This window comes from Homo sapiens, chromosome 5, assembly GCF_000001405.40.
Source record: "Homo sapiens chromosome 5, GRCh38.p14 Primary Assembly".
Classification (NCBI taxonomy): Eukaryota; Metazoa; Chordata; class Mammalia; order Primates; family Hominidae; genus Homo; species Homo sapiens.
This window is the reverse complement of record NC_000005.10, coordinates 15,581,528-15,601,840: the sequence shown is the minus strand read 5'-3', so window position 1 is coordinate 15,601,840 and position 20,313 is coordinate 15,581,528. Positions and strand designations below refer to the sequence as shown.

Sequence of the window (20,313 nt, the reverse complement as noted above, 5' to 3'; positions counted from 1 at the left end):
GAAGAGGAGGACATTCTCCAACCCAGCAGATACTCCAACATTATTTTCTGCCGAATTAAATAGCAGAAAATCCTACCCTGAGTCTCTCAAATGATCATTTGTTCAAGTTTCATTGAATGGCAGTATTATTACGGGTGGAAAATAAAGATGAGCAAGTAAGATTGAATGTATCGTGGAATGCTAGAAATCTCAAAGAGTCCCCCAGCTTGTGAAAAAGCAGGCACTTGGCACCCCAGCATGGGTGGTTTCAAGTCTAAAAGAGCAGGCAATATGTCACTAAAGGTACCAGGGCAGAGCTTCCCCTTCCCACACACCCACCTACAGGCCTTTAGGCAATTGTGCAAGAGTTAACACAGATGCCAGCTGACACTGAGACAGATGCTGCTGCGGCTGCTGACAGATGGTGCTTCACAGCTGGGTTTCTGAAGAGAGTAATGAGAAGATCAGAGTGCTGCACGGGCTAAGGGTACATGCATTAACACAAGAATTTCCATTGTAATACAAATCAATCAAAAGTCATTTTTACGCTAATAACATCACTACAATTTGCACCACTCCCAAGATCTCACAGATCATGAAAAGACTTGTGTCTTGCATAATCTGGATGTATAATAAAAGACCAGTGTTCTTTCTAAAGTTCACTGGTGGTTCTACACAATCTGGGAGCACCTTAGAAGCCATGTGTTCATTTCTTGGCATCAAGAGCCTCTGGTGTCAATAAATCCATAACTGCCTCTTCTGAGTCACTCATTCATTCATTCAGCATCCCATGTTACACACAATTCCATAACCAAGCCATCTCAGCCATAAAGGTTACTTCTTGCAGGATTTTGGGAGCAGGGAAACAGTGGAGAAAATACTAGTATCACCTTTCAACAGAGAATGTAGTGAAAAGAGAGGCAGCATTATCCTTTGAGTCTGTGTGGCTAGAGGTGGCTCAACCCCAGCAAAAGACAGACAGACAGTTACAGACCTTTGTGCCTTACTGTCACTCATTGATTTTTGAGGGTTTTCATACAAAGCATATTTACCTTAATTATCACTGAAGATCAGTCTAAATTAGTGAAAATTCTGAACAATAAATTTTAAAAGGCATTGATTCTCCTCCTTTCATGCATGGTATAATCCTACCAACAGCACAAGAGAAAAAGGGATTATATATGTAAGATCTTAATCTTATTTAATGCAAAACAATTTTAAGATCCCGCTATGTTTCCCACCTCCCATTGCCCATTTATCAAACAATCATAAGCAAAAGTTGACTATCAAAATTCTGTATCAAGAAATGAGAAGGTTCAAACAGTCCTTTTTGGTAAAGAGAATTATAACTGAGAAATAAAAATAAAATTCTAAGGCCCCCTACCAAATGAACAGACCCCCACTCTTGGTCAAGGGGACTCCAGAAAAACCTTGAAAGCCGATTTCCCAGCCATGACAGGAAGGGAGGGTGGGCATGCCTTGTTATACCCCTCCCTCACTTTCTTCCCCAAGGGTTAAAGAGAAATAAGCCTTTTCAAAAGACTGCACCACTGATATCAACTAACTGCCTGACGGTGCCCCTCCCTTCTGTGGTTCTGACAATCCAATCCACCAGCATTCCTTCCTGATAAGAGACCACTGACCACAGAGTGGTTCTGGCCAGTCTACAGAGGATACGCAGTGAAGGTTTTCATGTCCTCTGCTTCACCTTTTGACAACAGATGGCTGAAAACACCACCCTTGGATAATCCTAATGCTGCCATTTTTTGAACATGCGTCCTATGAGGCAGCATGAAGCTCATTTGAGCATGTGCATGTTTCTCCTTTCATCAATATTCATGACTGCTCCTATAGCTTCTTATTGAATATGTGTATTTGGCCATCTCATTCAGTATAAATCCCTGTGTTATTCTTCCCACCCTTGACATGTCTGTTTCTGGCTTCTAAGCAGAGGCTATGCTTCCCCACCTGTCATAATGGCCACCCTGCAGGCTGCAACCCTTTCTGAGAAATAAAGCTCTCCTTTCCAAATTTATGAACCTCGTCATTTTTCAGCTGACATAACAAACAAGTTTTCCTACCACAGAAAACTAAATATAGCTAAGCAGTGAAATGGAGAAAGTGAAATCTACAGCTCAATTTCACACTGACTCCCTTAATAACTGGGGGAGCCCTGAGTAAGCTACCTTAATGCTTCTCAACATCTATTTCTGTACCTCTGATTGGGGAAAGGAAAACTGGAGGAGATCATCTTCAAGACCCATTTCAGCTTTCCACACTCACATTCTTCACTTCTCTCTGCCCAAAATGTCGTCAGCCTTCTAGCAAAACTACAAACCACTTTACAATCCCAAACCATGATCCAAAAAGACCTAAAAGCTAAGTGGAAGAATGGATAAGATAGGGTTTTTAGCCAACTTTCTCTTCCTAAATTGAAATTTTCTGTTTGTAACATGTACACACACACATAAATATATATATGCATACACACATACACACACATACAAACACACACACATATCCACATATGTGTATTTCAGCCACCAAAGCATAGCTGGATTATTTCACTGCTGTCTCTTCTCTTTGGGGTGTGACTTGAACTTGAGAATCTAATATGATCTTCTTAGTCCCCAAATGAAGGTCCCAATTTTATTACCTGCTATGTCCCCTAAGAGCATCATTATTTTCCTCCCTGTCTCTTCCACTGTCCTTGCAGCAGGAGGCTTCCTTTGGCCCATGGTGGGAAGCTGCAATTCTATTTAACAGGAGTAAAAGTGATCACGTCCACCAGTAGGCATCTCTGAGCACAGAGAAACAGAGAAAGTATAAATGGCAGCTACAGAGTACCTCACAGATAACCAGAATCTTTCTACTACTACAATTTGTAGGAAGGAGGAGCTACGAGAGTACACTGAATGCAGCAATTGCCCTCAATTCTGAATCCATTTCATCCCTAACTTTGTGTTGCTGCCACATGGTTGGGTGAGACTGATGTCACCTCTATTCTATCAAGGAGCTCTATTTACCCTAAGCCCATCAACACAGACCCATCCTCATTGCCCAGTGATTGCTCAGGAAGACAAGGAGGGGGAGTGAGGGGCAGATAAATGATCAAAGTTATTCATTGGTAAAGAAAGAGATGCGTGCTCTCTTTCTCTCTCTCTGGATATAACCATAGGCCTTGTTGGACGCCATACTGTATTACAAAGGAGAGTCAACAATTTCAATAAAAATGCACATGGCAAAACAATGACAAAAAAAATCAGGTAAGGATATCACTGAGCCATTACCAGTTAATGGGTCCCAACACCCACCCTACCACTGGACTTCTTTCTCAGTTATGTGAACCCAGAAAAGACAGTCTGTCTGCTGCACCTGGTGGTAAACGTTGGAACTGCAGCAATTTTATGCTTAACCAAAGGTGTATCTCAAATTCAAGGGAAAAAAAATCTTCATCCTAAAGTAAGACACTTTTTTCCATATGAAAAGAGCATTTTTTAATTTTAGACTGACTCTATGAAAGGTTGAATAAGTATAAAGTAATAATTTTGAGAGTGATGGATTGTAATGTTTTAAATAAGCACAACCAAGTAGAAATAAGAAGCATTATACTTAGCCACATGATGAATCTGATAAGGCTGGAAAACAGTTTAATGTACTCTGGGTAATAAACAGATGACCTGGTAGGTCTCTTTCCTCTTTGAAAAACTTTAATTCAGCTTCCACCTATAATCTATGATGTATTTTTCAAAGCTTTATGCATTTTTTAAAAAATCACTCCCCCTAAATTTTGCATTTACAGCCCTTTTATCATATAAATTGCGGTCATAACCTAAGTTAAGGTTTGCAGCAGCCAGTGAAGGGAAAGGTCTGGCTTCTATAAAAGGAGATACATTAAGCAAAATAAATCTTGCCTGAAACTGGAATAGTTCTTGAATATAACAACTTAGGAGCTAATCTCTCTTCTCTTTTGAAAATATAATAGCTTTGCCTTTGAGCCAGAATAGATCAAATAGTCCAGGGATAGCTGTTATTCCTTTTCTCATTCTTTTTCTTGATGTACTGAGACTTGATTAATAATTGTAAAATTCCTGAGAATTCTTTTCCCAAACTCTTCTAGCATGAAGGCATCACTTCATCCATAAAGGTGAAGGGAACATTCGAACTACTTTTCCCTCTAGTCTAAAGGAAGAACAGGGCCAGGGATTGAAGCTTTCAATCTACACATTAAAATCTTTCTCTGCTCTAGGCCTTCTTCACACGCCTTCTTGTAAAACTGTGTTGGAACGTAATTTGTAGGCCTTCAACTCGTTGAAATTAAAAGAATTTCAGGCATTTCAGATTTTTTTTTTTTTTTTTTTTTTTTACAAAATGATATTATCTAGAGAGATATTTTCACATATATGGTTTGGGACAGGCAGAATAAGCTTACTGGCTTCAAGATTTATATATCTTTTATAAAAATGAGATGCAATCAAGTATTTGGGCCTAAGTATTTTCCCTCCTGTCCCTGGCACCCATTTTAACATATAGGAAATAGAGGCAAAACCAAATTGCTGTATTTTTATTCTCTGCTCTCAATACAACACAGTTGCTTCTGTGACTTCTGGTCACCAAAATGTGTGCGGATGGTGGTTTCTCCCCACCAACAAGCAAGCAAGCAATCAATTCTGCAGCAGATTCTCCAGCTGGGTATCCTAGAATTCAATTCAATTCTGATGCTATCTACCTAAAGATAGTGTCAGATTTCACAGGTTAAGGGCTCAGTCCCACAAGGCTGCCCCCACTTTAGATGCCAATCACATGTCCAGCCCACTCATACTTCTAATCAACTGGCTACAAAATGAGGTTTCCATGACCTCCTCCTTGGGTTTGATTAATTTACTAGGATAATTCACAGAACTTAGGCAAACACTTACTTAGGTTTACTGGCTTACTATAAAGGATATTGCAAAGGATAGAGATGAAGAGATGCACAGGGCGAGGTATGTGGGAAGGGGCATGGAGCGTCCATGCCCTCTCTGGGTGCACCACCCTCCAGGAAGTTCCATGCATTCAGCTTTCTGGAAGCTCTCCTAGCCCTGTCCTTTTGAGTCTTATGGAGGCTTCATTACATAGGCATGATTGATTTCATCATTAGCCATTGGTGATCAACTCAACCTTCAGCCCTTCTCCCCGCCTTGGGGATTCTGTGCCCAGAATGTAGGGGAAATAAAGTCAGTCTTTTACTCTGGTTCAGGCAGGCACTGCCCTTGTGGGTTTGGAATAGGAATATATGGTATGCACAACTTTGTAAATTTTTTTCTTAATTTAATTCAAGCATTTACTTTTCAAGTGCCTTACCAAATTCTTACTTATTTTTGTGGAGACAGGGTCCCACTATGTTACCCAGGCTTGTCTTGAACTCCTGGGCTCAAGCAATCCCTCCTGCCTTGGCCTACCTAAATTCTGAGTTGACATTTATTTTTATTTTAATGTGAAGAAAACCCATATAAAAAAAGGAGACAAGAATTAGTGCTGAATAATTACTCATCTATTAAAAACAAAAAAGACTCTATACATACCACACAAAAATGAATTATACCATGCTTTTTTAATCTAAAGACAGAATGTACTTTAAAAATGCCTTTTTCTTAGTTATTTCAGAAGCATACCTTAGCCCGGTTTTGGCATGACCATTCATTCTGATTTAACTGGTTTAATGCAGTTGAGTCAACAGTCCTTGATTTTACAGACAAGAGTGCTTCATTCTAATTCCAACTGTGTACTTGAACAAACCCCTTAATATCTGTAAGTCTCCATTTTTCCCTTCTGTCATGCAAGAGGATTAGGACTGCGATGTCCCCTTAACTCTTACAGCAGCCCTAATGAGTGTGTTCTGCGATCTTGTTATTTCATGTTATTTCACCAAATCCCATCTACCTGCTGAGATAGGACCCCTGGGACTACTCTCATTGACCTCATGAAGAAACTAAGGTAAGGACTGTATAACTGTCCCAGAGCTTGTAAGAAAAAGCTCCAGGCATCAGAGACCTCACCACCACACCACATCATCTCCTTAGATTTTTACTGTAGCCTTGGATGAAAAGCCCAGATGCTGGAGTCAATGCACTTCGATTTACATCTTTTTGCTACTATTCATTTGCTTGACTTTGGAAAGATGCTTAACTCTCTGCCTCAGTGTTCTTATTTATAAAATGGTATCCCAGATTTTCTATGAATTAACACATGTAAAGCACCTAGTTGGAAGCTTGGCACATAGTAAGTGCTCAACAAATGTTACCTAGTAATACTGTTGCAAGAGTGCAGATTAATACAGTTGTATAATACTTCAAAATTAAATCCCTCCCTCAGCCTGCAATCTAAATAATTTATTCTGAATTAATTATCAAATTAAAGAATTCAGGCCAGATCTCTCCAGGTGCTTCTTTCCTCCCTGTACCTCAGCCGATCTGGTCTGCCTGCAATTCCCCACACTCGTCACATGCAGCACTGCTTCATACCCCTGTTCCAACTCTTCCAAGCTTCGAATTACATCTCTTCCCCTCCCGATCCATTTTCAACTCCTCCACAGCAGCCTTTCTGGGTCTCTGAGATCCCTTCCCCACTTGGAATGTTGTACCATTTACAGTCATTTGGCACTTAACGTAGTAATAATCACAACTGACACTTATAGTACTCTTGGGATTATACCAATTTGTTTTTATGTATATTTTCTCACTGCACTGCATTCCTATCTTCTTACATGCCCTGGGATCATAGTCTTGTACACACTGCAGCTGGCGAAAAGACTACACGTGGAGCCCATGGGAGAAGTTTACTGCTGCTGATGGCAATGTTCTAGATACTGGGAAACAAAAGCAAAAAGGTCAGGGTGAACCTCTTGTCACATACAGGTATATATTTTTAAATGTAAGACTGACTAGGATTCCACATCACTATGACAGATGCACAGAGGATCATAGCAAGGCAGCTAAACTTAGCAATGGGAATGGACACACAGAGAATCAGAGAGAAGACAGCGTTTCTCCTGCAATCAGGAACTTCTGCAACATGCAAAGAAGAGAGGTCATTCTGATATTGTTGTCAGCAATAGCTGGAGTATATAGTATGTCACTGGTACAGGTTATACGCAAAGAGCCAGTCTATAACTCTGAAAACCTGATTCCCGGAACATTTCCAAAGCAGTCTGTGAGTCTCTATTTTGGACTGGCCCCTTCTCTAGCAGCAGCCTCTTCAGGTCTCTGAAGCCGTACTGCAGCTCCAATACCAAGGACAAGCCCACTATCTCCCACCTCCATCCCCAGTGTGAGCTGGGAGTAGCAGTCATGCTCCTGTTTCTAGCCCTGGGCGACACACATCAGGAATTCAGACTGTCTGGTGAGAGGCCAATGGGTACTCCCATCATTCACGCAAAATATACCTCCCTTACCACCGCGTAAGAAATGGAAACACCATTTCAAAGAGTAGTTTTCTAGCGTGGACCGCCCAAGATCAGAACAGATACACTTTTAACCTTTTCAACTGTTTTCTTTTCAAATGCCTTACCAAATTCTTGACCTCTCTGACCCACCATATGTCCGCCCTCCACGTTCAATGAAAAGCCTGGAAAACCAAGATGTGAAACCTCCTGTTTAGCCTTCTCAACCTCATTCAAAAGGACAATATTTCCCTTTCATTGCATGGTGTAGCAGTGGAGGCAAATGCCTTAAAAACTTACCCAATTAATCACTCAAATAAACTCCACCAACAAATAAATACTAAGTGTCTAATGTATATAGAACATATTGTGAGCACTGGACAAAGTCATTTAGTCTAAGGAAAGAAATGAGTAGAATGAATCTTTAGTATAATGTTGAACCATAAGAAATTGCCATTTTCATAGGTTAAAAAGGTTCAAAATCAACACTGTCATATGGTTCAAACTAATTATAAACATTTCTTTGGGGTTACCTTCCAAGGTTGGTATTGAATATGAAAATAACTAAATTTCATTGGATAGTGCCCAAGACGTAGTTACATACACTGAATTTTTCTCTGGAGTATATAGTGCCATCCATAGTGAGTTGCCAATTAGCACAGAGAAATAGCATATATTCAGCAAAAAGAGAACAAATTCACCAACTCCAAAAAGGGATAAAAAATATTTGTTACACAAATTAAACAAATTTAAAACAAAAAACCTGTACATTTTTATGTCTATCTCTTAAACTATTTAGCTTTTTATAAAAGCTAGGAAAATCAGCTATTAAGTGCTAATCTAAATCTTTGCACCAGCAAACTTAATGAGAATTCCACACCAAGCAGAGAAAGACTAAGGCCTGCTTATTTCTTTTTTGAGATGGAGTCTACCTCTGTCGCCCAGACTAGAGTGCAGTGGGGCGATCTCAGATCACTCTAGCCTCCGCCTCCTGGGTTCAAGCAATTCTCCTGCCTCAGCCTCCCTAGAAGCTGGGATTACAGGTACCCACCACCACACCTGGCTAATTTTTGTATTTTTAGTAGAGCTGGAGTCTCACAATGTTGGCCAGGCAGGTCTTGAACTCCTGACCTCAGGTGATCCACCTGCCTCGGCCTCCCAAAGTGTTGGGATTATAGGTGTGAGCCACTGCACCCTGCCCAGGCCTGCTTATTTCTAAAGGAGAGGCAACTAGCAGAAACAATCCAGAGGAAGTGAGAGGGAGGAAGGGGCACGCAGGGAACAAAATGTCAAGCAAATATTCACCAGCTGATCCCTGTAAAGCTAACTGGCTTCAGTCTGTCCACTTTTCACTTTAAAGGCTCTAAAATTTCAAATGTTTTCTAGGACTGGTACTCTATCAGGAGAATCGTTTTACTGCCTCGCCTTAAGTATTTCCCAGTATTCAACCAAATGCCTAACCATACAGCAGCCTACAGCTGATCATACTTCCCTTGTGTGTGATACGCATCTTATCCTGGACTCTGTCTTTCATCACTACTCTTTTTGCTATTCATTTACAAGTACAAACAAAATTTTAGCTCGAGGCTAAAATCTGAGGTAAACAGACTATCCATTATACACTTCAAATAATGACCTCTCACTAATAAAACTTCTTTTCTCTGTGTGACCTAAAGGTTAGGAGCATAATTTTCCATTTTAAATTTATACAGAAAACAAACAACTCCAAAAACTAAAGGTCCGGACTAGATGTGTATACAAATCTTCTCCTCCCTCTGATAAGCCCGGTCTTCAAATCCGTTATTATAAAACACACTTAGGGACAAATGGCACAACATTTCCATGAGGCTGTCAGCAGTACTCACATTTAAAATGGAAAGCCTGAACTTAAACTGCAAAATAGTGTAGGTGTCAGGCACTCTATAGAAAAAAAAGAATATTTGTGATGGCGTCAAGCTGTGTAGTTGGCACTTTATATATATAATCTGACATTAAATCTTCACAATGAGCTTATGGGCTAAGCTCTCTATTTTCAAGGTGAGAGAACTGGAGCGCAGGAACTTAAATTGCCCATGATCCCTGGGCAACTGTATCCCAGAGCCAGGTGCATCTCACTCCAAAACTCATCTCCATGCTGCTGCTGTTCCATCAAAAGTTAAACAGATGACCTATCAAGTTTGTGGGTGAAGAATATAAAACTGGGGCAGAGGATGGACAGATAGAAGGCCTAAATCCTAGGCCACGTTCTAGAATTTTGCAGGTAAGAGACTTAAGTTCTCTGAGCCTCATTTCCTCAGAGCATGAACACAGTAGGTGTCCAATGTAGACTTGTTCAGCTCAAAGGTTATTATGTGTCTCTGAGATGCTTCAGTGTAGTGGGATTTAGAGTGACCCTCCTACCACAGTAGCCAGATGGCTAAAGATGTGGCCAACCTCGGGCACGGTGGCTCACACCTGTAATCCCAGAACTTCAGGAGGCCAAGGCGGGCGGATCACAAGGTCAAGAGATCAAGACCATCCTGGCCAACATGGTGAAACCCCATCTCTACTAAAAATACAAAGAATTAGCTGGGTGTGGTGGTGCGTGCCTGTAGTCCTAGCTACTCAGGAGGCTGAGGCAGAAGAATCGCTTGAACCCGGGAGGTGGAGGTTGCAGTGAGCCAAGATCGTGACACTGCACTCCAGCCTGGTGACAGAGCAAGACTCCATCTCAAAAGTAAATAAATAAATAATAAGAGGCCAACCTTATTCCTCACAAATTTCAAGACTCACATCACAAGATCTGGGGCAGAGGGGACTGATGTTATTTGAGCTCCTGTCCCTGCCAATTGTGGGAGAAAAATGGAAGCTGCCACTTCTCGACTCGGGCTTTGGTCCTAGGCCTTCCATTTACCCTCAGCCTTCCTAGGTGCCCAAACCTTTAACAAGAATATTATTTTCATTTTATAAGGTGCAATTTCTACTTGAATGCCTAGCCCCATGGTAAAATTCTCCAGTCTTTTTTTTTTTTTTTGAGACAGAGTCTCACTCTGTTGCCCAGGCTGGAGTGCAGTGGTGCGATCACAGCTCACTGCAAGCTCCACCTCCCGGATTCACACCATTCTCCTGCCTCAGCCTCCCGAGTAGCTGGGACTACAGGCGCCCGCCACCATGCCCAGCTAACTTTTTGTATTTTTAGTAGAGACAGAGTTTCACCATGTTAGCCAGGATGGTCTCCATCTCCTGACCTCGTGATCCACCCGCCTCGGCCTCCCAAAGTGCTGGGATTACAGGTGTGAGCCACTGCGCCTGGCCTAAATTCTCCACTCTTAATGAAAAACTGTCACAATCTGCTACCACCCATGGGCAAAATGGAATTGTAATCATTCAAGTCTGAGGAGATGCAGACCTGAATTTATGAAATACTATGGGAATAAAAAGGGCAAGCTGTGGTCCTTGTGGTCCTAGACTTGTTATTTACACAACTAAAAATCTGCCTTCTTTATAAAGAATTCTTCATCCTATAAAAATAGAAAGGAAAAAGAGACAGAACATAAAATAATAATACAACTTTTAGGTTAACTAGAAGCATTTTCCCCAATAAAGCTATGTGACTCAGTAATTTATATTGATCTAGTTCCTGCTTTATCGAGCAGGACTTAGGAGCTGGGAACCTAACAGTGGCATCATCTCTGCTCTCAACGCCTCTCAACACATCCACAGTCCAGGGGAGGACTAATCTGATCACTGTAATCACCACTACAGTGGCTATAAATAAAGGCAAGTTGCTCAGACCTGATTGGGGGCAATAAGGTGGTCTGGAAAGTTACACAATAGAAAATGGGCATCCCAAGGAGAATGAGAGGCCCAGAAGCAAAAGGGAACATTGAGCATTCAACAACCACAGATTATTTACTAGGGCTAGAGAAGACAGATAAAAGAGAAAAAGGAGGTGGGAGGTAGAGGTGAAACTTGAAGTCTTGCAGACCATGGTAGGGAACTTGAACTCTATCCAGAGAGCAGTGAGGAATCTTTGAAGGATTATAACAAGCAGACTGGCATATCAGATTGCAGAAAGCTAGGTCAAGCTTAGAGAAGGGACTGGAGGTAGTAAAAGTAGAGGCAGCGAGTCTGGTTAGAAAGCTGTTATGGAGGTAGCAATGATGGTTGAAAATAAATCAATAAATCCAAGAGATGTAAATCCAGTAGAAACACAAGGAATTTGTGATTGGACAGATGAGGCAGCAGATAAATTCCAGGTGGCACCTAGGATGATTTTCTCAAGTGTTCAGAGGAGTAAACGTGGCCCAGTCTGTCCATTACTCCATAGCTCTTCTCTCTCCCACTTCCCTCTTCCAAGCATATCTTCCTAACACCATTTACTCCCAAGGTCAAAGATATCTTAAGAGAGATTGAAAACAAAGATCATTCTTTTAAGAAAAAACATGGTAGGAACATGGGATGGTGAATGAAGTCCCAACCTTCATTGTTTTTAGAAACACAGAGGATCAAGTGAAGGCAATTATTCACAGCAACATTCATGAGCTGCAGAGCAGATGGAGAAGCCACTGAAGCATGTGGACCCATAGTGTTCCACAGCCACTGCCTGAATCTCATTTGTGCATCATCACCTCTGATGATGACATTGAGGACACGCTGGCTATGCCATGGCTGGATTGGAAAACCAACAGGGGAATCCAGAAAACAAAAACATCAATGCATGGCCTGATGTTACCCCACCAAGGTACCCTCTCTTTTAAGCTTCTTAAGATAATAACTTCCAAAGCCTTTTCTTCTGATTTGAAGAATAGAAAAATAAATCATGCAATTCATCAAGACTTTTTATGCACAAATACTGTATTAGTCCCTTCTCGCACTACTATAAAGAAATACTTGAAGCTGGGTAGTTTATAAAGAAAAGAGGTTTAGTGGGTTTACAGTTCTGCAGGCTGTATAGGAAGCATAGCCGGGGAAGCCTCGGGAAACTTACAATCACGGCCGAAGACAAAGGGGAAGCAGGCACAACTTGCCTGGCTGGAGAAGGAGGAAGAGAGAGGAGGAGGAGGCACTACATACTTTTAAACAACCAGATCTTGTAAGAACTCACTATCATGAGAAAAGCCGGGGGAAATCCACCCCCGAGATTCAATCATCCCCCACAAGTCTCCTCCTCCAACATTGGGGATTACAAATCAACATGAGATTTGGGCGGGGACAGAAATCCAAACCATATCAAATATACAGCATGATGTACCCCTCACTGCATCCACAGTGTCCAGGCAGAAATACAGACAACAAATGGTTTGCTTACTAATACCCAAAGTTACTAGACGCTGGGTCAGGAGCATGGAGTTTCTCGCTATTCTTCCTCTTGTATATCCACCTTTCTTTCTCAGTTAGCATACTTTGTACGTCATTCTATTAGTTACAACAACAAGAAATCATCTGAAATTTCTCAGGAAAAGGGCTTCTGTGATCCACAGTAGCTCACTGATTTCTACATAAAGAAAACAGATTAGCTGTGTTAGAAGGAACACAAAAATAAGTTGAGTTTTAAAAAAAGAAAGAGGTTGGATTAAAATCTTCACAGTTTGAACAAAGTAAGGATCTAATTGTATAGACCTTCAAAAACTCATAGTTTAATAATTTTACCATAACCTGCATGGAAACAGATCATCTAGAGAAGTCAGAGATACACATTACAATTGGGAAGAAAGTTAAATACAAATATCCCGATTTCATACAACCTGTTAATGAGTCAAAATTACAACATGGCGGCCGGGCGCGGTGGCTCACGCCTATAATCCCAGCACTTTGGGAAGCCAAGGTGGGCAGATCCCTTGAGGTCAGGAGTTTGAGACCAGCCTAGCCAACATGCTGAAACCCTGTCTCTACTAAAAATACAAAAATTAGCCAGACGTGGTGGTGGGAGCCTGTAACCCCAGCTACTCAGGAGGCTGAGACAGGAGAATCGCTTGAACCTGGGAGGCAGAGGTTGCAGTGACCCGAGATCGTGCCACTGCACTCCAGCCTGGACAATGAAGAGCGAAACTCCATCTCAAAAAAAAAAAAAAAAAATTACAACATAGCTTTTGCCATGTGCCACAGTTTCTCTGTGTGATGAGTGAAGTCACTGATTTACACATCAGTAATTTACAATGTGCAGTAAAATCAGCCTAAAATATTTCAGAGTGATAGCTTATTTTGGGAATAACAGCATTCATGTTAAAAACATGACCATTCAGTTCTGACAGTAAATAAATCACCAGACAGTGTCTCCACAATCTACCACCATTGAGCAATAAATCTTTGGATTCAACTGTACACCAGACATAATGCTGTAAAGTAAAAGTCTAGTTTTACCTCAGTGACCTCAGTTTTGCCTCTGCTGGACATTAAATCTGATGCAAAATGAGCAAATAAGGGTGGCTGAGTTTCAACCTGGCATAACAGTGAGGTTTTGTCAAGGATCCCAGAATTCAGAGAGTTTTTAGGAACAACAACCAAAAAAAAAGTTTGAAAAACAAAAACATATGCTAAACAGCTGGGGATGGAGAAATTAAAGGATGTGAAGAGCCTTCACCTTAGCTAGAAAAATATCCTATTTAATGACTTTTTCTTTTATTTGACCCATTTTAAGATTTTCTTTTTTAATCTTTAAAACTATTATCTCTAGAGGGCACATGCTGGATGAATAAAAATACATTCATCAATTCATTCATTGTTTCATCCAATCTATGTTAAAACAAATAGTGTTTTCATCTCTTAATAGCTTTGGGACCCTAAGAAAATTATTTAAATTTGAGGTACCTTAGTTTCTTCATCTATAAAAGGGGGACAAGACTCATACATAACTCACAGGACTCTTGAACGATAACTACACATACTCTGTCTCAGACACAATGCCCAAGCTGAGGTTTGCAATAATGAGCAAAGGAAACCGGATTCCCACCTTCAGAGACACAGAGTACATAATTAGGAAACAAAAATAAATAAACATGGAATTTCAAATCCTGCCTGGTGCCTGGAGAAAATGCATAGGATACTACTCAATGAAAGAGAGGCCTCCTTAGATAAAGGGGTCATAGTAAAAGGCTTTGCTGAGTTGTGGACCTTTGGGCTGAGACCTAAGGAATGAGAAGGAGTCAGCCCTGCAGAGTGAAGAAGCAAGCCCATTCTAGGCCAAGGATTTGAAATACAAAAAGGCCCTGATCTTAGCATCAGCCAGGTGCATTCCAGTAAGTGGGGAGATACTGGGAAGAGATGAATCATGCAAGACCCAAAAGGAGCAACAGAGATTGTGTCTGTAGTCCATATGAATGTAGAAGTCACAGGCGGATTTTCCAGCAGGACAAATGGCAGGTTTTAGTTATGAAAGATGAAGCTAGCTGCTGAGTAATGAACGGGCCACTGAGGTTCAGAAGGAAATATCAGGGAGGTGAAAGAAGCCATTGCAGTGGGAGATGATGGTGGCTTGGCACAGGTAATGACTGTGGAGATGGAGAGAAACAGATAGAACTTGAGATACCTCTCGAAATCTCCCTAAAGGTCTGTCTTGGCAACCTATTCTCAGGTGTAAACGTTAACCAGATAAATGACTAAAAAGAAAATTTAAACGGTCTCTATTCTATTAAAATTCTCCAGATAGCTCTCTTCATGAAATTTTTAAAGTGTTTTTACCAGGATGATTTACAGTCATGAACTGATTTGACAGTTTAGCCTGACTTCTATGTGTAGTTTAGATTGAGAGCTGCAAGACTCAGTTATTTAGAAAGTAAATTCAATATGTGTAATGGTGCTATCCCTGGACTGTAGACAATTCTTCATTGTTTTCACTTTAGATGGAATTCTGAGTAGTTTTTTGAAACATGAGCTAGAGATCTGGTTCAACCAGGGGTAGTAATAAGAGGTTTCTCCATCATAGCTTCTTGGTAAAGTGTCCAAAAGTAATAACCTTGTTTTCAGCTTTCCACCCAGAGGTTAAAGTAGGGAACACTTCATGAAAGTTATATGTTTCCATTCCAACCCATCACTTTGTGCTTTGGGAAAGAAAAGGAGGGGGCAAGAGATATTGAGAAAGAGATTGAGAAAGGGAGGGGAAGAGAAACAGAGAGGGAGAAAGAGAGAGATGGAGAGGGAGGTGGAGGGGGAGGTGAGGGGGGAGAGAGAGAGAAAGAAGACAAGGGGGAGGGGGGAGGGGAGGGGAGGGGAGAAACTTTTTAAAAGGGAGGGAGTTAAGACATGATTTGTCATCACCCAGAAGTGCTAACGCTGGCTCCCAAACCTCAAGCTCTGATTCCCTCATCAATCTTAATACCCCCCAGATTCTGTGTAGAGCAAACATGGAAAGAAAAGAAAGTTCTTAGCCAAATATTGGAGCCCAACTTGGAAAAATGAGCTTTGCAATGACAGCACATATTTTTAAGGGCTTATTGGGCTCTCACTAAGGAGACTGGCTCCAGGCCTTGTAGTTTCACATATTTTCTTGATTCCTAAGTTAATCATTTTTACATCATCTACTTTAAAATAAGCCAAAGGGAAGCTTCCTCCAGGAATAGCCATTCACTGGCATTTAACAATTAAAAACAAGATCACATTTGTGTGACCAGCCTTGAACAAGAATTTGATTTGCGTTTAATAAGATACATGCTCATGTGTAATGCATACCAATGGGTCTGAAAAAATATTTAATATGATACAACTCTAACATAAAACTATATCACTTTTAACAAGGCATCAGGATTCATTAGGCACAGCTAGCAACTTGATGGAGTTAGAGTTAATGGTATCTGAGCCTTGGATAGAAGAAAAATGAGTATAAATTTCCCTTCTTCCTATAAACATAGCTCAGGCATACAATCATGAGCTTCTCTACTAAAACCCCAAAGAAAAATGTGATTGAAAATGTTATTTAAACTACTATGTTTATAGTAAAGTGAGTTAGCTAACGATGACTGTTGGCACTTTTGAAATTTAACTTTTAATTTTGAACGGTTCATTCTCTTTGCTCTGCAAAATACCTTTGAGGTGTGTTAAGGTGATGAATTTTCCATGTAAGTAGGTAGCTCTTCTATCCCTGGAACAAACATGACTCTTATTTGTCATCATTTCTAAATCTTATCTTTTATATGACTCATTTAATTGGATTCATCTCTCCCTACAAGCATGGACAATGAGTAACCATGCATTACAATTAGGTTCATGGTTTGGTCTCAGTGTACATTTCTGTCTTTCCTTTCATCTAATGCAAATTACAAATGTGTCCCCTTCTTATAGAATGTGTTGGAGGCTCTCAGACTTCACAGAGAGCAATCCTTCTATCTCCCAAACTGCACTGCTTAAACAGATCTGCATTTTAAGTTAAGGAGAAGTTAACAGAAATTTTAATTCTTAATAATTAATTATAAATTATAAATCATAAATTATTTGCAGTACCAGGCAGCAGAGTAGTTGAAAGGGATACCAATTGAAGCTTTGCTGCACCTGTGTTAACAACTCCACACAACTAATTTGTAATAGTATGTGATTGGCAGTTTCCCCTGCTCTCTCCTGCCTGCTGCCATGTAAGACATGCCTGCTTACCCTTCCACCATGACTGTAAGTTTCCTGAGGCCTCTACAGCCATACCGAAGTGTGAGTCAATTGAAACTCTTTCCTTTGTAAATTACCCAGTCTCAGGGAATTTCTTTATAGCAGTGTGAAAATGGACTAATACAGTAAACTGGTACCAGGAGTGGGGTACTTTTATAAAGGTAACCTGAAAATGTGGAAGCAGCTTTGAAATTGGGTAATGGGCAGAGGGTTTGAACAGTTTGGAGAGCCCAGAAAGAGAAAGAAAGATGTGGTCATCTGTGGAACTTGCTAGAGACTTGAATGGTTTTGACCAAAATGCTGATAGTGATGTAGACAATGAAGTCCAGGCTGAGGTGGTCTCAGATGAAGATGAGAGTTTACTGGAAACTAGAGCAAAGGTCACACTTGCTATGCTTCAGCAAAGAGACTGGTGGCACTTTGCCCCTGCCCTAGAGATCTGTGGAACTTTGAACTTGAGAGAAATGGTCTGAAATTGGAACTTATGGTTAAAAGGGAAGCAGAGCATAAAAGTTTGGAAAATTTGCAGCCTGGCCATGTGGTAGAAAAGAAAAACCCATTTTCTGGAAGAGAAATTCATAAGTAACAAGGAGTCAAATATTAACCTCCCAGACAATGGGGAAAATGTCTCCAGAGCAGGTCAAGGACTTTCACCGCAGTCCCTCCCATCACAGGCCTGGAGGACTAGGAGGAAAACATTATTTTGTGGACCAGGCCCAGGGCCCAGCTGCTCTGTGCAGCCCCAAGATTTGGTGCCCTGCATCCCAGCCACTCCAGCTCCAGCTGCGGTTAAAAGGGGTCAAGGTACAGCTCGAGCCACTGCTTCAGAGAGTGCAAGCCCCAGGCCTTGTCGACTTCCACACAATACTGAGCCTGTGGGTGCAGAGAAGCCAAGAAGTGAGGTTTGGGATCATCCTCTTAGATTTCAGAGGATGTTTGGAAATGCCTGGATGTCCAGAGAGAAGTTTGCTGTAGGGGTGAAGCCCTTATGGAGAACCTCTGCTAGGGCAGTCTGAAGAAAATGTGGAGTCAGAACCCCCACACAGAGTCCCCACTGGGGCACTGCCTAGTGGAGCCGTGAGAAGAGGACCATCATCCTCCAGAGCCCAGAATGGTAGATCCACCAACAGCTTGCATCATGTGCCAGGAAATGCTGCAGGCACTCAACGACAGCCTGTGAAGCAGCTGTCCAAGGCCGTGGGAGCCCACCCCTTGCATAAGCATGCCCTAGATGTGAGACATACAGTCAAAGGAGATCATTTTGGAGCTTTAAGATTTAATGACTCCCCTGCTGGATTTTGGACTTGCATGGGGACCACAGCCCCTTTGTTTTGGCCAATTTCTCCCATTTGTAACCAGTATGTTTACCCAATGCCTGCACCCCCATTGTATCTTGGAAGGAACTAATTTGTGTTTTATTTTACCAGCTCACAGGTAGAAGGCACTTTCCTTCTCTCAGATGAGACTTTGGATTGTGGACTTTTGAATTAATGCTGACATGGGTTAAGACTTTGGGGGAATGTTGGAAAGAGATTTGGGAGGGGCCAGGAGCAGAATGATATGGTTTGGTTCTGTGTCCCCATCCAAATCTCATCTCAAATTGTAATCCCCAGGTGTCGAGGGAGAGACCTGCTGGGAGGTGACTGGATCATGTGGGCAGTTTCCCCCATGTTGTTCTTGTGATAATGAGTGAGTTCTCGTAAGATCTGATGTTTTTATAAGTGGCAGTTTCCCCTGCTCTCTCTCACCTGCCACCATGTAAGACATGCCTGCTTCCCCTTCTGCCATGACTGTAAGTTTTCTGAGGCCTCTCCAGCCATACTGAAGTGTGAATTAATTAAACCTCTTTCCTTTGTAAATTACCCAGTCTCAGGGAAGTTCTTTATAGCAGTATGAAAATAGACTAATACAACATCCCCACAAAAAAAAAAAAAAACATGAGCCAAGGAGAGGATTAGGTGAGTCACCAATATTCTGTCTCGATGATGATAATGATTAATATAAAAGGAAATTGTTTTGTTAGTCAGACTATAAAAGATTTGGAAAGATTGACTGAAACTTCATTAGTAGGGTGAGGGGGCTCAAGCACTTGGTAGCCTCTAGTAGTATGGAAATGAAGGGCAATTGCACATCATGTATTGAATGTAAACGCAGCAGAGTCTTTCACCTAAGACTTCCCAGAATTTAACCTAAGAAACTGCACACATTCTAAAGGTGTTATACTCAAAGCTGTTTATCTAATCATTTATATGAGTGAAGAAATGAGGAAGAATAACATGGAATTGGTCAAGTAAACTGTCACTGACATCTCGAGGAAGTCCTGATGCTCTCATTGGCATGGCAATGTTGTCTATGAAACTGCTGAATGAAAAGAGGTCACAGATGGGATAACTCCACAGGTATGGAGTGGCATATATGTAGTTACCCTTGTATGAACATATAGGAGATTTCTCTTTCCTTTTTTCCATCATACAAGAACAGAGAAGATCAAATTGATCCATCGCTTCCTATGATTCAGCATATCCTAATATTAAGCCGATTTCTCTTATCCAGAGTAGAAAAAAGTCTCTGCTTATGTTCTTCTAGTACCTCTTCAATTTTCAGTGCATGCATTTCAACCTTTCATCTATTTGGGCTGGGTGTGGTGCCTCACACCTGTAATCCCAGCACTCTGGGAGGCTGAGGTGGGTGGATCACTTGAGGTCAGGAGTTTGAGACCAGCCTGGCCAACGTGGCAAAGCCCCATCTCTACTAAAAACACAAAAAATTAGCCAGGCATGGTGGCACATGCCTGTAATCCCAGCTACTTGGGAGGCTGAGGCAGGAGGATCGCCTGAACCTGGGAGATGGAGGTTGCAATGAGCTAAGATCATGCCACTGCACTCCAGCCTGGGACACAGAATGCGATCCTGTTTCAAAAAAAGAAATCATCTATCTGGAATGTATTTTAGCTCAAAGAGTATGGTCAGAGCAAGACCATGTCCAGATTGCAAGGTCTGGACTTCTGGGAGGGAGCCGGGTATCTGACAGAAACTAGCTTGCTTTCCCACCTCTCATCCATATTCCCCACCACACAAATTCACACACAACTGTGTGGCACCCACTAATGCTTGCGCAAGCACATAAACAAGCAGAGGGAAAGAGGGAAAGAAGGAGACAGACCAAAAGACAAGAGAGTCTAACTTATAAGACCAAAGTCTGAGAATCTTGCAGCTGCATCAGGACAGTCTGCTGAGTAGGACTTAAGTGTTTCAATTCTGGGAGAACTTTCCAGAGCAAAGACAGAAGATTCCATAAAACGAGCAAAATCTGCTACAATTTTCCCCCATTGCTATGGTTCCAGT

At 41.4% G+C, this 20,313-nt stretch overlaps 1 protein-coding gene across 4 annotated transcripts in view; it reads right to left on the bottom strand.

Moving 5' to 3' along the window:
- The window catches only part of FBXL7 (F-box and leucine rich repeat protein 7), a 439,614-nt gene that overhangs the window by 337,953 nt on the left and 81,348 nt on the right, over nt 1-20,313 (bottom strand). Inside the window, exons 1-2 of one of the 4 annotated variants that reach the window (XM_047417000.1) lie at nt 1,032-2,779; nt 319-422 (exon numbers count right to left, since the gene is read on the bottom strand). The exons of the other annotated variants lie outside the window; for them this stretch is intronic. The gene's annotated coding sequence lies outside the window, so the exon portion shown is untranslated. Of the gene's footprint in view, nt 1-318; nt 423-1,031; nt 2,780-20,313 lie in introns of those variants that run through there. 4 annotated transcript variants of the gene reach the window in all.